The sequence below is a fragment of the Homo sapiens genome, chromosome 9 (assembly GCF_000001405.40).
Source record: "Homo sapiens chromosome 9, GRCh38.p14 Primary Assembly".
NCBI lineage: Eukaryota > Metazoa > Chordata > Mammalia > Primates > Hominidae > Homo > Homo sapiens.
The window spans coordinates 8,610,955-8,632,872 of NC_000009.12; the positions used below are offsets into that span (position 1 = coordinate 8,610,955).

Sequence of the window (21,918 nt, forward strand, 5' to 3'; positions counted from 1 at the left end):
TTTTCCACATCAACAACCATTATGGTTTTATATTTTCATGTTGAAATATTATATGGTCCTCCATCTAAATTTATGGTTTATTCTTTTCATAAATACTAGGATACTCAAAACACGTGATGAAAAAATAACATATCCAAAAGATTACATTTCTTATAATCACTAAAATAGATGTAATTCCTTACTTTTCACAACTGAGAATGTTTTTCTTAATGGTATCCCCTGTAAAGTAAGAAAATAACCAAAAAGCTGATTGTTCATTTGTTAAACAAGAATATCAAAGTTAAATGAGCCTGACTCTGTTCTAATCAGAGGATATATATTTTTTTAACTATCACAAATATTGGTAGGACTTGCCAGTTGGGCAAAGCTATCCTTATGATGACGTCACTAAAAGATGAGGAAAATGGAAGTGACCAACCAGAACATGGGGTAAAGGATGGAAAGAAAGGGGAATAAAAACCAGAGCAGGGCCAGGCGTAGTGGCTCACACCTGTAATCCCAGCACTTTGGAAGCCTGAGGAAGGTGAATTGCTTGAGCCCAGGAGTTCGAGACCAGCCTGGGCAACATGACAAAACCCTGTCTCTACAAAAAATACAAAAATTAGCAGGGCATGGTGGTGTGCACCTGTATTCCCAGCTACTGGCAGGGGTCAGGTGGGAGGACCACCTGAGCCTGGAAGGTCTGGGCTGCAATGACCTGTGTGTGATCCAGCCACTGCACTCCAGCCTGAGTGACAGGGCAAGACCCTGTCAAAAGAAAAAAAGAAAAGACAAAAGAAAAAAGAAAAGAAAAGAAAAGAGAAAAGAAAAGAAAGGAGGGGAGGGGAGGGGAGGGGAGAGAAAAGAAAAAAGAGGAGAGGAGAAGAGAGGAGGAGAAGGAAAGAGAGCAGGAATAGCATTCATTATCACTTCCAGAAAGATGATGTTTCAATGTTAACTACTCCTTTTTGTACCTAAATATCAAGACCTTGTGAAAAGAAAAGAAAAGAAAAGAGAAAACAAAAGAAAACAAAAGAGGGGAGGGGAGGGGAGGGGAGGGTTTGGGAGGGGAGGGAAAGAGAGCAGGAATAGCATTCATTATAACTTCCAGAAAGACGATGTTTCAATGTTAACTACTCCTTTTTGTACCTAAATATCAAGACCTTGTGAAAAGAAAAGAAAACAAAACAAAACAAAACAAAACAAAAGGAAAGGAAGCAGGAATAGCATTCATTATAACTTCCAGAAAGATGATATTTCAATGTTAACTACTCCTTTTTATACCTAAATATCCTACAAAACATATCTCCTTTACACGATTCATCCAGTAAGTATATTTATATTTCATATTCCATTGTTTGCTTTTGTATGTTTGGCCATATCAATTCAAAAGCACTGAAAAATGTTCATTTCATTTAAAGGCCAAGATTAAATGTATGAATTTGAGTCTATAGGCAAAGGATACAACTGGCAGCTGTACCTGAATTAAGTGGAGGTGTTTGAGTGAAACTGTAGATAGATCATTTGAGAGGCTGTACAATGGAGAAAGGAAGCTGTTCAATTAAGGTGTTAGAAGCAAATCGGAAGGTAAGGAAAAACACAAGGGTCACTTGTCAGTTATTACATGGGAATGCATTGGTCAGAAGAAGCAAGACAGAAGAATAAGTTAATGAAAATCCACATGCTTCGAACTTGGACACAGGGAGAAGGATGGCGGTACTATTGACTGAAATAAGAATGCAGTGTTTTGGAGGGATGTTCACTGAGGTGAGAAGAGGATGACAACTTCTGGGGGACCCTGAGGCTGGTGGGACCACCCACATACAAGTGGTACCTGCCTCAACTTTTCTCCAGTAGAGAACAATGAAGACATTTCACATTCTTTTTTATGCAAGACTATTAGCATGTTTTAAACAATTGCCTCTAGAGTGATTATTTAAAATTATAATCGATTAGTTTAAATCATGATGTGTTCTGTGATTGGGTATGGCATTGTTATGAACTACTACCGTGCCTTCAGACTGATTAGGTATTAAAACTTACAAAAAGGAAAGGATTATTAATAACACCAGTAGTTAGTACTTTCATGTGTTTATATTCAACATTCTGTCAATAACAAAACCCTAACATTTATTCATTAGTAAAAAAAGACTTATATTTTACTTATATTTGGTGTGCGTGCTGGGCAAAGGGTAGGATGTCTTAGCTCTCCATTACTTCCAACACATAACAGGTATTCAAAGAATGTTACTTTTGAATAGACTGAATAACAAATATAAAAAAGCACATGTAGATTAAGACAAAGTTACTCTGCAAATGTTTTAAAAGAGAAATGGCATTCTTTCATCTCAGTGGCCTCTTCCATTTCTAGAAGAGAGAGCAGGAAGGGGAAGGGAAAGGTACTATCCCTGACATTAATGCTAAGGGTGTAAACATTATAATATCTTACTTTGCCTTCCTTCTGGGAAACAGAGCACTTCAACCATATCTAGAAATACTTGAGAGACTATTCTGCTACTGACTTATTTTTTTTAAAACTAAAAATAAATCCAAGTGGGAATAAAGGGCAGATTAAAATATCATAGCATCACAGACTCTCTGACATCATCATGCTGTGTTTTTTACCCAAAGTTTGAATCTCCTGCCTCTCTAGCACCCCCAGAAAATGATCACTCACCTCTACCTCCTAAAATTGCCCTGGTAATTTTCAGGAAGCTGAGATCATTCCAGAGTTCTTCCTGGGACCAATCCAAAAATCTGCCACTCGCTGAGCCTGATTTGGCTGTCTGCATGAACACAAAATGAGTCTAATCCCTCTTCTACATGACAGTCCACAGAGGCAACCACCAGTTTCATAACTGGTTTAGTTGTTTTTCTTACACCCTGAGGGACCAGGAGAATTACATTTTCACATTCTCAGCCCAACTGTCTTTTCTGCAAGAACTTTCCTAAATGAATAAATAGTCTGTCATTTTAGAACTAGCTCTTATCAAAGAAGAGTATCGCTATTCTTGCAGTTTTTTTTTTTTCTATAAAATAGTAAAGTTGTGTCCTTCACATTATGGTAAGTCTGGGAGGCTATTAGTGAGAATATGAGTTTCTCTAGTTTTGTTCTGTTATTTGATATAGTGTTATTTTTAATATACTGTCATTCAGATGTGAATATGACATGATTAATACATTATTGGTAAATGTCATTTAAGATATGCTTCCAGGAGAAGCAATGGTATTACACTGAGCTTTTTGACCCTCATTCTTCATATTTGTGAATTCACCTATTTGCTAAAGTTTATTTGTAACCTCCAAGTCAATACTTATGGTGATTTCAGCCATTTCATACAGTGGCAAAATATTTGAGTTGCCCAACACATGCAGTCACAGCTAAGGTCAAACAAGGCAACCAGTTTATGCATTTGTGGCAAATGAGACTAATGAGTTCAGAGGTTTGATCATCCCATGACCAGGTATAGGTTTATTCATAGTAAAAGACCTCCCTGCCTGTATTCAGTTTGATAAGATGCCACACAGATTAATGCTGAATGTTGTAAGGAAGGCCAGGATAAATGAGGGTAGACTGAAATAGAGAAGATAATCACTTAAGTACTCTTTAGGACTGAGTCAATTTCATTTTCCTTTTATGTAGAGCCCTACAATGTAGAATCCTACAGCTTCTCATATCTTTGCAAAGATAACTACTACAAAGGAGTTTATGCAAGAAATAAGAGGGCATATAAGGGATCTGGCACATTGGGATCTTGGACCTTTAGACATGAGACAAAATGACAAAATGAGACAAAAGACATGAGACACAAGACAAAATGACAGACATCCGGTCACTTTCAGGAACAAGTATCTGTTAGCCAAAGTCTACGACAGAGTTGGACAATTACTTAGCCCTGACTAGTCCTCATATTTCACAAAAAGTAATCTACATATGGCAAGTAACTCCACCAAGGAAGAGGGCTTCCTATTTTCCCACTTTCTGAACTAAATCAGCTCAAGCTACTTTTAAAGAAAGGAGAGCCCACTCTTGAGACTTCTTTGCTCCTTCTTTTGTTTGGCCTGCTAATTCTTTCTCCATCTGAGGGGTGAGAAAGACTTCTTTTTAGCTGTCTCTTTCACTGCCAACCTGCTTTGATAATGTTCTGGGGGCTTTACCAGAATGACATTTTAGACCACTCTAACTCAGCTTAGCCACTGAAGCTGAGCACAGCTGAAGAAAGCACTCAATTAGCAACTCCAACTTCAAAGGCTATATTATTCTCTCCTCAATACACATGTGTAACTCCCATTAGCGTTAATGGGAGCTGTGGGAGCCCACGGCTCAGAGAATATACCTCCAAGTCTGTTTGCTTGATGAGCATGCAATTAAACCTTATGGCCCAAATTTTTCAAGGAGGGCATAGTAAGTACACCAAGCACTCATGCAAAATCAAGTGTGCTTACTTTGAGAAAAAGTAAGCTATCGCCACTATTTAAACATGAAGAAAGAGCAGTCTAAATTAGGTCTATTTTAATTTCATTTGTCCTCTTAGGTGTGGACAATGGCCTTTCATGGTGTTTTGAGGAAAGTCACTCCTCTTTTTTAAAAGGTGAATTATATGTTTTTAGAAGCATTAGTTCACATTGCTTAAAAGACTAGCTAGCCTCAAGGGTAAAAATGTCTAATAAGAACAAAACCATTCTAAGTGAATTTCGTACACATAAAATCCAGCATGGCACCTATATACACTCAGTGGCTTTTCCTGTCTTTATTTAATAGCTGTATTCTAACTTAAAATTAGGAAAAAAATTGATTTGACATTAAAAAGAAAAAAAAATTTTGAGAGGAAAATGCATGCCCCAATAATAAATTTGTCCTTATCAGGAAGTAATAATTTCCGTCCCTTTCTTGCATTCTAAAGAGATTTGTCCATATATTTTCAACATGAAATCAATATATATTTCAGCTTCAATGAAATATCAATATATGTCAGCTAGTCTGTGCTACAGCCACAGTCTTGAACAACATCTTCATGGGGAAAATAATCTTGATAATTTAGTACCATTTAAAACAATTCCTTTTCTATTATTCAGACATTTTCCCCAAAATTTAAAAAGAAATTTATGAATGAAAGTTTTTACATTTTATAAAGGAGAGTTAGCTAATCACTTTTAAAGTCATACAAGTGAATTGTTGATCTACTATTGACACATAATTCACTCTACCACCAAACCTCATATCCTGACTTTCTAACCACATGAGGCTTTTTTAGGTACTGGACCATCAGTACAAATCAATTGAAGTGCAACGGGCCAATGAACTTATCAGAAAGACAAAAGCGTCCACACTAAGCTTATGGGAATGTCGAGATGTCAGGAGACTTTTCAAGTTGTAACATGGCAGATGAGCTAGAGGAAAACTCCTTTAAAATTTCATCTAGTACATGGTCTTCATAACTTCATTTTGCACTAAATATTTAACACCTTGCTTTACAAGTTTGATAACTACCATGTCTTCATAAAATTTCAAAGCCCATGTGTTAAAGGAAAGAAGTATTTCAAAACTGAACACAGGGATCCCTTACTTCAGACTCTAGGCAGACTGAATAAAGAATGATAACCATAGATTAGATAATAAACCGTGGTCTGTGGTTAACAGAATTTTTAATGATGACAAATGTGAGAAACATTCACTATTTCTTATCAAAAAAAGATTGTGGTTTTTCTCTCATATCTGCAATCTTATTCATAAAGTTGAAAGCTACTACAATAGATACCCTACTTTCAGAGCATATCTCACATACAAAACTACCTTTCAAGTGAGAGATAAAGACTGCCGATGTTATTACAGAGGGGCTAGACAGTTTTATTCTTAGATGTTTTGGATGTGATTTACTCTGGCTAAAAATACTAATAATTTAACTATGCTATTAATCCTGCTGAAGTGATTATGCCCTCCATGAGAGGCTAAGCTGAAACTCATCCAGACCTTCAGTTGGCACAGAACACACTGATTTCCTCATATAGAAGTTCAGTTGGTAGTGGTTTAATCGGGGATTATCAGTGTATAAAATGGCATTTATTCGAACACCCCTGTGAGTACAACCGTACTCTACTTTCTATAACTGTTGTCCAAAATACTTATTTACAAATCCTTTTTTTCCCAATCTGGCTCTTCTATAAGAGATAAAAATATATTTTCATTTGATATAAACCAAAATACACTGAGAGTTCATGAACCTTGGATGGGTCAAGGGATGTGAAGTAAATCAATGAGTAATAACAGCAATTACCTAAAATACTTGCAGAAAGAAGGAAGAGAGAGAAGAAAGATGGGAAAGAAGGCTGGGAGAATGAAGATGTCTACTCAGTGTCTCTGATGAGGGTTGGTCGATGAAGCACCCATATTATGATCTGAGAGGCAGCTGAGATTTGTGCACTTCTCAGGAGAGAGAACTGCTGTCTCATTTTGGAGAAATGCTTATAACTCTTATCAAGTGGATGTGCAAAACCTGATGTACATAAGTAATTTATTCCTATTCCTGATTACTAGGCTACAATCAACATCAGATATGTCACTTAGATGTCCCAACTTTTAAAATTTACTGACATGTATTATTTCAGCAACATATTTGAGTCCCTTCTCTGTAGCACCTCTTGTCTAAGTACTGGGATAAGCAATACTGATTTCATTCCTACTTAAAAGAACAAACAAAACTACTTTGTTTTTAAGTCTTACAGTCTTGATTTTAAAAATCCAAAAGGCTTGAATTTAAAGAGTCTAAAAATCCTTAAAATGAAACTCTTGAGTAGATAAACTTTCTTAAAAATAAGTATTTCTATAAGTGTATTTATATATGTACATAAAAGGGTGAATTCAACTTCTCTTTATCTTTAGACTCTTGTAAAAGTTGCCATTGAAAGGCACATCTGATACGGCAATTTCAGCACAGAACATACTCAATAGGAAACAACTAACTAGAGAACTAAAGATGTACCGTCTTTGAGTCTTGCTCATTTTTTAAAAAAATCACTAACTTTGAAACTGGTAGGTTGTCCCACTTAAAGCTCTTGATTTTTAATTGCCATTTCTTTTTACACCCAATTAAATTGTCAGAGTAGTGAAGAATTGCCCAACTGAGTAGAACTGTGAGGATCTTCTCACTGCTGCTTTCCGCAGTCTTAATTTGCAGATGCTTTTGCCTAAAATAAAAATTTAAAGTCACTTCCTCAACAATAAGACCTGTAAAGCTTCCACCAACTGCTGTTTAAGACAGACGCAAAAAGAAAATTTGCTGCACGAGTTTGGGGCCATAGAAAAAGGAATATTTTCCTATATTTGTAAGATATTTGGGTTCTGAATAACAGATTACCATGTCCCTTAATCTGATACATATTAAATGAAGACCACATAGGTAAAGGGCTTGGTACCTTTCAATTAGCTCAGCAAGTCTATCAACTGGTAATATTCAAAAAGAACAAACAAAACTCATGCTGGACTGTTCATTTTCATGAAAACATATTGTGTATAAAGCCATGAATGGTGATCAAAGATTCCTGTGAATAATTTTCTTAATGAAAGAGGACTAATTACTTGCTAGATTCTCAGACCAATGGTATGGTATCTTGACAATCTCCATCTACCAGAGGTTTCAAAGAGAAAGCCATGGAGTCATAAAACACCAAGACAACTCAGTTCCAACATATCTGAAATGACTTGCCCTCACCTTTTAACTTCCTGTGGTTGCCTCAAACATTTAAGAAATATCTTTATTAATTTACTTATTTATTCTTGTTTTTAGACAGAGTATTGCTCTGTTGCCCAGGCTAGAATGCAGTGGTGCGATCTTGACTCACTGTAACTTCCACCTCCTGGGTTCAAGTGATTTTCCTGCCTCAGCCTCCTGAGGGGTTGAGACTACAGGTGCATGCCACCACACCCAGCTAATTTTGTGTGTGTGTGTGTGTGTGTGTGTGTGTGTTTGTCTGTGTTTTTTTGTTTTTTTTTTTTTTTTTTTTTTTTTACCGGAAACAGGGTTTCACCATGTTGGTCAGGCTAGTCTCAAACTCGTGACCTCAAGTGATCTGCCAACCTCAGCCTCCCAAAATGCTGGGATTACAGGATTGAGCCACTGCACCCAGCCATACATTTATTTTTTAATTGAGACATAAAAGTGTATTTACCACATACAAAATGATGTTTTGAACTATTATGTATACATTGTGAAATAGTTAAATCTTGCTCAGTAACATACGCATTATCTTACATAGTTACCACTTTTGTGTTTGAGAATACTTTGTACCCATTCTCTTAGCATCTTTCAAGAATACAAAACATTATGAACTATAGTCACCATGTTCTACAACAGTTCTCTTAAACTTACTCCTCCTAACTGAAATGTTCTATCCTTTGACCACCATCTCCCCAACCCCCACCCCTCAACCTGCTCAGCCTCTGGTAACCAACATTCTACTCTCTACTACTGATATCAATTTTTTTAGATTCCACAAATCAGTGAGATCCCATAGCATTTGTCTTTCTGTGAATGGCTTATTTCAATTACCATAATATTTTACAAGATATAAAGAGGTATAACAACCAAATGCATTAAAAAAAGAAGTACCCTCTTAACTAGCCTTTCAGTGATAACTATGTCTTCTTTAATGCCTTTTTAATGCATTTTATTTTTCACAACCATTCAGCTCTTACATCCCACTCCACCCCATCTTTTTGTGTTCTCAGAGCTCTCTTTCTACCCAGGTTACACAGAAACTCAAGGACGATGACTAAATAAATCTCCATTACACAACCAACTCAGCAGCCCCTCTTGGTGGAGTTAAGGTATCTTTTACACATCTTCATCCTTTTCCTAGAGACCCCCAAAACAAAAAAAATCAACCCTTACACTTTTCTATGTCACATTACACTCGATTGTATCCTTTGCAAGATAGCATTAAAGGGCAATATATGAAGTAGTAAATACAGAATAAACTTTAGAGTCAGAAAATCTGGTAATCACCACATTTACCAGCATGTTTGGTCAAGCCACCTCTGAATCTCAGCTGCTCTGAACTTGTAGCCTCTCCAGACACTGCACACAGACCCCCTTTAGTAGTCAGTAAAGCACTTAGCAGACCTCTCCTTTAGGGCTAAGAATCTATCAGAACCTCAGATGGAACACCTATATATTAAAATTCACACATTCCAAAACTGCATTGAACGCTTGGTAATTACTAATTCTCTAGGATTTTTTTCCTTTGTTTGATCTTTGCTTTTCTAATTGCCAATAAAACCTGAGCAAGCAAATAGAGGTTCTGTATCATTTGCTCATTGAGAAAAGAAATCTGAAGATCTTCTAATATTTATCTTACAGACAAACGCTTTAAAGAAGAAGCCTAAACCATTCCTGCCTTCTACCTGTCTCTTCTCCTTTAATAAACAAGACAGCATGCCGCTCATGGAGAATCAGTTCAGAAATTCATTTGTTGAATTTTAGTAAATAATGCCACTAGACTTTAGAGCTAGTTTACATAAAAATAAAAATTAAGAATTTATAGTGTCTAATGTCTTGATGAAAAGGTTATTTTGCATCAGTGATGGTGGTGGTGGTACTGTTCAAATGCAATGAGAGGAGATAGAAACCTTGACCTTTCAGAATGGAGAAATTTTAACCAGGTACAGTCCAGTTAATGGCGGGGGGCAGGGGGTGGCAGGGAATCCTGTGTAATGTGCAAAACCATCCTGTTACAGGAGAGAGCAGTGGATGTGTACTGCCTGTGTAGTATTGTATGTTAAACAGTAAAGGAAAAAAATAGTACCAAGATGTTCTCCATAAATTTAGAAACAGAATTATAAACATTGGGCAAAGTCCTTTCAAGTCTATATTAAGCCATGGAGGATTGTGATTCAGGAAAGACATTCACCCCTCTACGTGAGACTCACATTCAAGTGCTGATGTACACAAGTAATTTTTCTTCAATCATATGTAAAGTACAATGCAGTTCTTAGATCCCTTGGCCCCATCCCAGCAGCGGACCTAGATATTATTAAGTCTAAAGCTTACGAAACTTTAAAGGACTACTTTATGAAAACAAATGCAAAAATCTTATTTTTACAAATTTTAGAAAAATATATAATCAACCGGAGATACTAGTAAGTCTTCCCGGGTCTTTGGAAGGCATCGTACAAGGGAGGGCCCTAATTCCAAAGATTCCTCAACTGCAGGGTAAGCCTGTCTCTGCTTCAACTCCACACCAATTACTTCCCCTCCACCATTCTGAGAGAGATTTTCTGGCACCCGAGTATGGCAAGAGTTTGGTGGGGGTCTTCGAACAAGAATTCATCTCACTGGAGGACACAGGAAGCGTGGTCCCTGAGCTTAATCAATGCTGTTAGCATATAGTTAACCAGGCTTGTGTAAAAGACATCACATCAGCATTTCACCATTATGCGGTAAAGTAATTTTAATTTTTAAAAAAAATTTGTTTGTTTTTAAATAATCACAATCATATCTTAAAAATGTTGATAGGGAATTAAGAAAAGATTGGCTCAAACCCCAGTCGTACTGGGCAAAACCCCAGTCCTACTGGGCAGCATTTAGTGTCCTCCTTGGTTCTTTGTACTAGGTTTATGGCAAATCCTTGAGAATAATCATTTAAGTCAGAGTGAATTCTTCCTCCCAGATGATGATTTATCTGTTTGTAAGCTGAGATGAGGGAATTCCATTTGCTATTGAGCCAGTGAGTGTTAACTTTATTAACGCATCTTTGCAACTAAGATTAATGGGACCCATAGTAAGTCAGCTGTAGCACTTGATGTCAGTTTATAACAAGCTTGGCAATACCTGGAAATTCAGATCTATCATCATAAGTTATAATGACATGCATAAAAATTTGAGTGTAAATAAAAGGCTCTTTAGGATACAGGGCTCTAATCCAAGTTGTTCAAGCCTTAAAAAGTAACTTATATAACAGTGTTCCTGTTTTGGAGTACAGTATATGCTAATGGCCTTTCCTCAAGGGTTAAAATGCCTAAACTACCATCTTCTAATAAATAAATATTTTATTACAAAAATCAATTTTGCTTAATGAAGTCCTCTGAGGGAGAAGATGTTTTAAGACATTTTACCAGTACACTTTAAAATCATTTTGTATTTAGGTATGCTCTGTCATCTCCACCTAGAGCAAAAAAGAATCATAAAAAATGATAAGTGCAGCAATAAAAAACTCCTCTTACTATTAGTTGGGAGAGAAACAAATGGGTATATTACTCTGAAGGTAATTACTTAAGTTTTTTTATTGCACCATATTTTCTCAAAACCGAACCAAAGTATATCCCAAATCTTCCTACAAATGAAATACAATTTTTCTCTCAGAACATTTTTACTCATCAGGACAAAAAGGTGAGCTTAATTCTTCTGTCAGCTGAGGCTTCATGTGTCAAACACATCTTACATTTCAACAAACCTTACTGTCATATTGATGGAATATTCAAGGAGACATTAGTTCTTACGGCAAGTACTAGCTTGAAAAGGTGTAAGCTGAATTACTGTGAGAGCACTTTTCTTCTAAAAATAGACTTTATTATCTCCAACCACAGTATATATGTATAACTGCCTTGTCATTTTAACCAAATTTATGGCTTCCCATCAGAGATTGTAGCTTCCTTGAAGGCAAGTGGGGGTAGTTTCTTTCCATCTTTTTATTCCCAACACTTAGCACACTTCCTGGACTAGAGAGAGCTAGATTATCAAATGAATAAATTCATGAATTAATACAAATTGCTTCTCATATATTGTATGCCTATCCGAGATGTGGAAGCAACATCTCCTGACATTTCTAATTTTTAAAAATAAACCTTAAATCCAGCAGTCTGCAAGAAAATAATATTTAGAAACTTTTTCCTAAAACTTGTCATTCATTCATTCCATCAAGAAATTTTGGCTGGTAGCAGCGGCTTATGCCTGTAATCCCATGACTTTGGGAAAACGAGGTGGGAGGATCGCTTAAGCCAAGAGTTCAAGACCAGCCTGGGCAATATAGCAAGACCTATTTTCTAAAGAAAATTTACAAAATACAAAAAAAAAAATTAGCTGGGCAAGATGACTCATACTATAGTCCCAGCAACTCAGGGACTCAGGTGGGAAGATCCCTTGAACATAGGAGTGACAGGTTACAGTGAGCTATGATCTCACCACTGCATTCCAGCCTGGATGACAAAGTGGTACCCTGTCTCTAAAAAAACAAAAAACACAAATGTTTATGGAAAATGTCAGGCACTGTGCTTACTGCCATGTGTACAGTCTAGAGCAAAACAAAGCCATGCCCTTATGGAACTTCTAGTCTAAGCATGCAACTAACTCTGTTTTTTAGGATAAAAGGAAAATTTCATCTAATTTTCTCTTAAGTATACTCCCCTATCACTTATGACAGAATGATGTTCAAATTTCAAATATTTTGTGGATCCTACAACAGCCAAATGGTGGCATCTGGACCACATGATTATTTAGTGGACAAGGTAGCTTGACTTAAGGATTAAAAAATTTGTGTATTCCCAGCCTTAGCAAGATAATTCTGCCTGTGCCAAAAAGTTCTGCTTCACAAATGGGGCAGTTCCCTTTAATCAAATAATTTGAAATTAACTCTTAATAATAATCCTACTGATCATAGTAATACTAGTGATGATAATGATAATCACAACAACAACTCACATTTCCTGAGTGCCTAGAACTTTGCTAACAGCTTTACATGGATTATCTCCTGTAATCATCCTCTTAAGTTTACTCAATAGGTCTTCTTATCTCGACTTGATAGACAGATGCTGAAGCTTAGAGAGGTTAGGAAATGTGCACATTTGCCGCAAAACAAATAGTGAAGTTAGGATTTGAACTCGGGTCTGTCTGTTTGCTGAACCTACACCCATAACTACACCTTCTATCACTTCCTACACCAAGGTTGGTAACAGAAATAATCAAAAAAACAAAACAAACGAATAAACGAAAAAGCAAGAAAATGTTTCCTATTATCTCTTTCAAAGTTTCAAGGATATTTGAAATTCTTCTGCTTCTTCTAAAATATATCTAATGTTACATTTTCACAGAAATCATAAAACAGTTATAGATTTTTATCTAGTCTGTGACCTAGATGTCATAGAACAGAAATAATATTCTAGTACGACAGTGTGACTCTAGTTTGAGTTAGGCAGTTGAAGCAATTGACTACCTGGACCTACCTAATGTATAAGCATTCTGAAGAATATGGAAATGTGTGTTAACGTAACAATAAGCACAAATGTAACAGGGGGAAAAAAAGGAACTAAAATTCTTGGGATTGTGTACTAGCATAGCACCAATAAATGATTTTCAGTCTTTCAAAATAACTTGGTAATACTGTATGTTTTCAGATTGTTGTATCATCCTATTTCCTTGTGAAAAGCTGTTTTTCAGTCCTTTGGATTAAGGACTATTTGAGAAGACACAAAAACTTATTTTTCAGAGTTCTTCACCCTCCCTTCCCTTCACCATAGCCACGTATACATATAACACTTACTGAATTACTATGTGCCTAGCACTATTCTAGATGCTGGGGATTCAGTAGTGATGGGAGAGCCAAACCAGCTAGCTCAGCTTCAAAGGGATAATAAAGGGAGAAGGAAGGAAATTAACATTCTTTGGCAACTTTATTGTTAGTTACTCTGCCAGATGATTTAATATGTCATTAACTTCCCCCAAAACAGCCCTAAAAGATAGCCAGGATCACCCCCAACCCTACAGATAGGAATTTAACATTCAGACTTGAGTAATGTGTCTAAACCTATACAGTTAGGAAGCACTGGAAGGTTGATACAAATTCATGCTTATGTAGCTAGAAAGAGCATCTCTCTTCATTCCCTCTGTTTCACTCTGTCTTTGTAGTTCTCTTTCCCTTTGCCTCGACTTCTTGACTCTCAATCACGCTCTTCATCTTGCAGAGGCCACTGAAATAATGACTATTTTGTTCATTATATGTAAAGTAAGACTCATTCTTACCCAAATGGTCTCTTAATGCATTGTATCTACATAACCATATCTATAGATCCCTCTACATATGTACCTGTTCATGCCACAAATATCTCTTGGGTGCCCAATAAATGCCAGGAACATTTCTAGGCCATAGAAAACTGTAATGGAGCTTATACACAAAGGAAGAGGTATACAGGATAAAAGTCTCAAGACATAAAGAGTATAATTTCACATAGTAAAAAGTGCTATGAAGCAAATTAAACAGGTCATATACAAACACACTATATATATATATACTACATGTACAAAACATACATATATGCAAATATACCTTCTCAAGTTTTTGTATAAATATTGATAGTTAATAACTAGCTTTATTAAAAGCCATCACGTTTTTATGAGCACATACTTTTCTACTATACTTAATTTTCTAGTTGACCAGTAAATGACAGATCTGCAGTTACCCACGTAATTAAACAAATACATAAACAAACAGAAAGAACTATGTATGCCGATACTTAGAAAGGTAGAAAATATCTAAAAACTGTTAATATTGATTTTCTGGTCTCACTTATGATTTATAGCTTCATTTTTTTAATAGCTCTTTTGGTATTTATGCTCCAAGAAATATAGGATCTCTTCTGGGAAAATACAAACTATGATCAAATTTTCAACCTGAATACAGACATCATCAGACATGTGAGAAAAATCTCAATAGTGCTACACTTATGACCAAAAATCTATCAATTAAAAAAAAATCTACTGTGTTAAAGGGTGAAAATAACATTTATGTAATGCATGGATAAAGTTTAATAATCAAAGGTAAAGTTCTAAGAAACAAAAAAGAAAGGCATGGAAAGTTTTTAGATATAAATTAAAACACAGCTCATTTTGGAAGATGACAGATAAGAGAGTCTTGAAATGATATGACTATTCCCCGATTGCCCAGTAGTTAAAAAAAAAAAAAAAATCTTGCTATCTTTAACAAAACATATTAAGAATATGGGATGTGTGTCATCATAGTTGTGTTTAATGTGGCATTAATTCACAAGTCATTGTTTTTTTAATAAGATATAATAAGTTACTTGCTCTTCTAAGGAGATACGTAATTAGGGCTTTGATAATTAAACCCTAGATGAGGCATTTGGCATATCTGTGCCCTAAATACCAATAAATTATGCATGTACAACTTTTAAAACTACATCTTAATTAGTAGCTTAAAATAAAACTAATTTGGAAAACCAGGATACTGAATTTTTAAAAACTGCTCAAATTTTATCAATGAAAGCCAACCAACTACCTAGTTTTAAATATAAACCTCAATTATGTATGAATGACTGTTTGATAGATTACTTTAAGTGAAGTATTTTAGTAAACTCCTTTGTAATTTTCAGCTCACATAAAGATGGCCTAGGTTAACTTAATCACACCTTTTCTCACTTATTAGGTTTATCTCCTTAGCCAATGAGTCACGTCCCAACCTCATTTTCTTTTACTACTACTATTTTACTTCTGCTCAATTCTGACCTACCATTGTTTATACCCACCTGTAATGGTTAATTGTACGTGTCACTTGATTAGGCGAAATATCTGGGGTGCTCAAATATTTGGTCAAATGTTATCTTGAGCATTACTGTCAGGGTGTTTTTGGATGCGATTAACATTTAATTTAGTCACCAAGCAAAGCAGATTGCCCTCCCTAATGTGGGCAACCCTTATCCAATCAGGTAAAACACTAAAGAGAACAATAAAGCTGAGCCTCACCTAAGGAAGGAAGAACTCCTCCTACCTTCAAACTGGGACATCAGCTTTTTCATGCCTTTGGACCCAATCTGAAACATCAGCTCTTCCTAGGTCTTCAGCTTGCCAGCCTGTGGACTAGAACTGCACATCAACTCTCCTGGGCCTCCAGCTGCCAACTTTGGCAGATCTTGAAACTTCTTGGCCTCATTAATAATGTCAGCTAATTTGTTAAAATAAGGCTCTTCCTATATATGTATATATTCTGTTGGGGTTCTCTTTCTCCAGAGAACCCTAATACACTGCACACACCTACCATCAATACTCAGTGATTTCCTCCCTAAGCCACTTTGCTCAAGAAGCTTCTAGTTTCTACTCCTCTCTCAAGTTAGCTCTGTCTCACAGACTCCTAAATATTCTTCATGCCCCAACCCAGCAGTCTCCTCACTCTCACAGTGTATCATCCATGTAGCATTTTACACATTTTGCACCCATGGCACTTGAGCACTTTTTATTTCCCATCATGCTCATCTGTCGACATGTCAGCTGGAAGAACATTGTTCTTCCAGGACAATATCTTGTATATAAAGTAAAAATCTGAAGGGCTGAAACTCACTGTCACACGTACTGCAGCAGGGATCACTTCAGACTTGGCCAAACCCGATGAAAATCTTAGCTGTACGACCAAGAACAAATCATGTCAAACTCTCTGGACCTTGGCTCCTTACATCAAAAATAAGTAGTGAGGCTAGGTAAACACCAAATTCCCTTCTAGCTCAACATTTCTATGGTTCGGTTAACAAGTTAAGCAGCAGTAAACACTCGCATGAGTTGATGTTCATTTCAAAATTATTAAAAATAATATTTTAATATGAAGTCAAAAGAAGAAAATTGTTCTCACTTCAATGCAATGATTTACAAGTGTGCTCATTTTTTCTGAGCCCTTTTTAGACATGATCTCAGTGTGGCAAAACAAGTAATAGTTCCAAGGAAGGAGCATGCATCACCAACATAACAGTCCTCAAAAGATAGATCAGAAGGAAAATGAATAGCGTCTCCTCACAGGTACACTTTCTCCCCCAGATTTTCAGTTTTAATGTCTCCCCTTACTAGGGTCTCTCATAGACTATCCACATGGGCTTCTGTCTTTGTGACCACTGATACCCAAAGAATCACTGTTTTTAAATTCTAAAGATTACACCAACGAAAGTCAGGAGCGTCTGTTCACTTAAAGTGGCTCTGCCCACTACCACCTTTTCCCAGCATGGAAATGAGGTACACACGAAAGCTTTATCGTGTTGGTATCAATGTATTCCAAGTACTCAACTATTTTATAAGCCTTTTCAAGTAATCTTCAGTCAGTACCATAATTGTCAGCACGTTTGTTCTGTGTTGGCCACCCTTCCTTTTGTTTCAGTCTTTCATAAAAATCCTTTTGTGTGACAGTCAAGCAGCTGTGCTTTGTTCTTTAATGTTCCTAGCCTGGATCTCCAGCCGAGACCACTTTATAACATAAACGGCAAAGTACCATTTTCACAGCGGGGACAACTGTGTTCATCTTCAAAAAGAGGCATTAATAAAATGAGACTGTAATCAACATGCTAATTCTGATCACAGGGTACTGCACAATGGCAGAGATAGTTGACTGCCTTCTCCCTGAAAGATTGTAAAAGTTGTATGTTTTTTTTCCTAACAACTGCCATAATGGCTTACATTTTTTGAAACAGACATATTATGCAAACATTTCTATTTCCCATTGCAGTGCCTTCTCTGTCTCATCCAACTGCTCACTGTGTGTTTTACTATCTCAGTAACAGTCACCTTCAGGGAGCAAATTTTTTCCATCTTGCAAGAACTGACTTGCTGAAATAGGCATGTCAATGAATCACGGAAAGCTGGAGAGGGGTGATCTGAGTGATTTCATCGCTAATCCAAGGCCTTCCCAATGCATATCAGGCCAAAAAAAAAAAAAAGAAACAGAACAGAACAGGGAAGTTAACGTATTTGCTTAAGAATCCAGTTATTTTGTGACAGAGCTAAAGCTGGAATTCAATTTCCCAAGACCTAGACTTGGGTACTTCACGTATTATCTTTTGTCCTAATGGTGATCATTCACAAATAATATATTTATATGTAAGAGTAGGTACACATAAGTATCACTTGATGAAATATATTTGCTAAACTAGGTAACTAAAATGCCTCATATCTGGTAAACTAGCATGTTTAGACAATAATTGTACTGTAGATATGTTCTATGAACAAAGCCAGTTCCCTATAAATAGATAAGAGCAGCAGTGTTGTATATCATACCCTGTTCTGTTGTGCTAGTGGTGGTGGTGGTTTGGGGCAGTGCTATTTGAGAACAGCCCAGTCTAAAAATAATCTACTAAGATTTTTTAAATGACCCATTACATGCTGTTTGAGATAAGAGCAAAATAATGTATTTTCTGATTACTCCCCTAAAAAAAATTCTAAGTTCAAGAAACATGATGACATTTAGTAAGATGCTTAGATTCAAAGTTGATTAAATGGTTCCAGAACTTTGTCTTAGAGAAGGGAGGTTATGTAAGTAAGAATAATTATTGATGTCTTTCCTCTTGCCCAAAAGAAGCAAGTACCCTTGGACTCTTACTAGAAAGAAAAGTCTATGGATGGTGATATCTCATTTTCCCTGCCTAGTGATTGATAACATCTATCAGAGAGAATATTTTCATCCTCAGTTATCACTGCATAAATTTGTATTACATGGTTTCCTGCTGATATCTTTAGTCAGGAAGAAATTGTGACCAGCAAACTAACGAAACAGACAGAACCAATTCCATTTAGATGACAATCCCTGTTCTTACAACACTCTCTCTGGTCCTATGCTTGCTCTTCACTGAAAGCCTGATAGTTAATTCACTGTCCTTAGTAGCATTCCACAATTAGTTAAGGCACAGTCCTTAGTAGCCTCAGTACATCCTAAGGCCTTCACTTAAAGTTCTGCTTAGGATGGGAAAACACAAGTAAAACAGATATACTCAGCCTCCTAAAGTGTTGTATCATTAGGGAGTCAGTATTTTCTTGTGTTTCCATAGCCAAGACAACTAAAAAATTAAAATGACTTGGAAGACATAAGCCCTACATTCACCTCCCCCCTCTCCTACTTCTTTCGTGAACCACACTCTATGGTATAGTTAATTGCCCAAATATCTTATTTCGGGGCACATTCAGCCTGAGCTTGTGGTTATCCCTCCTTATTGAAACACAGTTTTTGAGAGTAAGGGTAATTTGAAACAAGCTACGAAGGGAAACTTGTTCCTGAAATGCTCCCTTCGAGGCACATGGGTGGTCAGAGTATTATTTCAATGTCTTCTTCATTAACCATACAGGTCAGATATTTGAATCTCCAATTAATTAGTTTCTCTAGTAGCTTGTGTGAGATAAATCAATGATCTTCATCCAGTTCACTTAGATAAAGCCCATCATGAGAGCTGGCACATTTTTGGCATTTGTCAGTAAAGCAGGGAGAAAGTAAATGATCCACGTGGACGAAATGGGAATCTAATGAGGCCACTGGACGAAAAGTGTAAAATGGTCTCCATCTACTGCAGAACAGAGTGCCTGAGTGTCCGCCAACATGATTTGCAAGAGAAAGTGAACCTAAAATCTCCTCAACTGTGGTATAAACCTCTTCACACTCATTTATTTAGCTATTCATGATGTTCAAAGTCTATGAATGTCAGTTTACACTGGAATATTATTAAACACTACTATTAATAGAAATAACAATATTTAGAAGTTTTAAGCAAACAGTGACTCCAGGAAACAAAAATAATTTCCATCCATATTTATTTTATCCTAAAAGGATATATAAAAGTATTCTATTTTAAGATTATGTTTAGACTACCTTTCTGTCATCTAAAATACTTTTGAATTTTTCTCATGAAAGTTCTAAAACTGCTCAACATAGTCTTTAAAAAAATGGAAAGGGTTAACTACTCAAATCATAAATTTTCATACAAGTATACTTACATATGACAGATGTTCACATAGAAAGTTGAGACCATATTAAACATTTTTGATGCATTTGTTTTATATGGGGACTAGCTGTATAAAAGCAGAGGAGATGATGAAACTCCAGCCAACTGAGAGACAGGAAAACATTAATCCATGTAAATTTCTAAGTAAAGTGATATTTTGCTCCAATTTTTTGTTAATGTCTTCATTGGATGCATAAAGATAAGTCAAGCACATGACTGCCATTAATTCCTTTTAAGGAGTTCAAGGGATTTGGAAAGTGAGAAAACTCAAAAACGTTTCTGATAAGTTTTATTTTATTGTACCTTTTTAATATACCTTCTATATGATGGCACTGATTCTAAACTAGGTAAATAAATGGAGATTAAAATTTTTAAAGCAGATGAACAAATGAGCCAGATTTGGCTTCAAATATGAACACCTGAAAAATGACAATTTTCAGACAAGCTGAAGTGAACTATGTATGTATATTCAGAAATATGTATACTTTCCATAGTGCATATTACAGCACATATAAACATAGTCTCTAAGATTCCTGCCAGTTCTAAAATCTAATTTCTAACTCCTATTCTTTTTTTTCCCTAATGTCTTATTCTTGCCTATTAGACCATTCCTTCCTTTCCCTTTTCAAATATTTTAAATATATTTTGAAACCCATTCATACAGTTCAGTTACCTGTGGATCAGAGACTATGATTTCCACCCTTGATGGTTGGGCTTACTGTCGCTTGCTGGTGGTAGCTGACTTGATTGCTTTAGAACTGGTGTTCATTAGCCCATCTGGGTATGAACAACCTTCTCTAGGGTTGTGTATCTGGATTATCGGAATGTCTCTGTGGGGTGAGTGCTATTATGGGTGTCTGTTGCACACTCTATGGGACTCACTGTTTCTGACCAGCTTTTATGTTAAACTATTTGGTCCTGAGTATTGCACAGTAGGAATAGTGCTGGAAATCTCACTTGTATGCAGAAAGCTGATCTAGTCTCTGTTACTCTCAACTTATTTTATATACGTATGTATCTTGCTGGAGTGTTAAAACTCCAGCACTAAAGCATAAGGTCCATTTTGTTATTATCTTGGGTTATTACAATTGTCTTTTCTCTAGGAAATCCCTCCCTTGTTTTTAGCAACTGGAAATTTCAATTTCTTGTTTGTAAGCCTAATTATGCTTTTAATTTTATTTTCAGATACTTTGTCAACATTTCTATGTGTTGGTCAGGGAATGGGGAACTTCCTGCACCAACCTAGCTTGTCATAACAGCCAGAAATGTAGCTCAAATCTCACTTGTCTGTTTTAAAGCAGCATCTGTTACATGCATTTAAAAGATATACATCCAATTGTCAATACTTTCCCTGCAACTTAATAAGGTGTTTATACTATTTCAAACGTAATTAAGGATATATATGTAAATAATCTCATTTTCTCAGCCTCTTGAATTGCTTCTTTGTGTGTGTGTGTGTGTGTGTGTGTGTCTGTGTGTGTGTGTGTTTAGTTTCAAAACCACCAGGTAAATTTGACCTACATTACTAATTACTGCTGGCCTCCAAATAAATAAGTTCTTGACAATATCAATAGGGCTTACCTCCTTGAAAGAAACCAAGATGTTTATCAAATCAAACTTTTTTATTTTATAAAAGATATAAAGTAAAACCATCCCTCCATGGGGGTAAAAAAAATGAAATAGTAGAGAAATGTACTTAATCTACATAAGTTCCTCTATGATTCTGATTGTTTCCTTTCCAATTTCTTTCATGTTAGGAAAGTCTATTCTCCTAAATTTTGGAACAGAGGAAAATACAACAAAACAAAACAAATGAGTTGTGTGAGGGAGAGAAAGAGATAAAGGCACAGAATAGTTAATCTGGAAATGTCAACTGTGAGGTGCCTAATTGGGAATGTTCGTATCTCTATACAGAAGCCTGAATTAGAGACATACAACACAGTCTTCATCATAGCTTTATTCTCCAGCACTCTCATTGTAAAGGAAGTCTACAAACTGAACACACTGTACTGGAGATCTGGCAACTCACCCTGTGCCTTTGTCAAATTGTGTAAGCAACATTGTTGGAGACAAAGAAAGGGATTTGTCAGCCCAGTTATTTAGATCAATACATATTGGTTTAAGAAAGATAACAGACAAATAAAAAATGTATTTTTTTTCACATAAGACAGGTGCATTTCTTATACTTGGTTCTG

General features: G+C 36.1%; 1 protein-coding gene across 55 annotated transcripts in view; it reads right to left on the reverse strand.

Annotated features, from left to right (window-relative positions):
- The window catches only part of PTPRD (protein tyrosine phosphatase receptor type D), a 2,298,757-nt gene that overhangs the window by 296,709 nt on the left and 1,980,130 nt on the right, over positions 1–21,918 (reverse strand). The window lies entirely within an intron of this gene.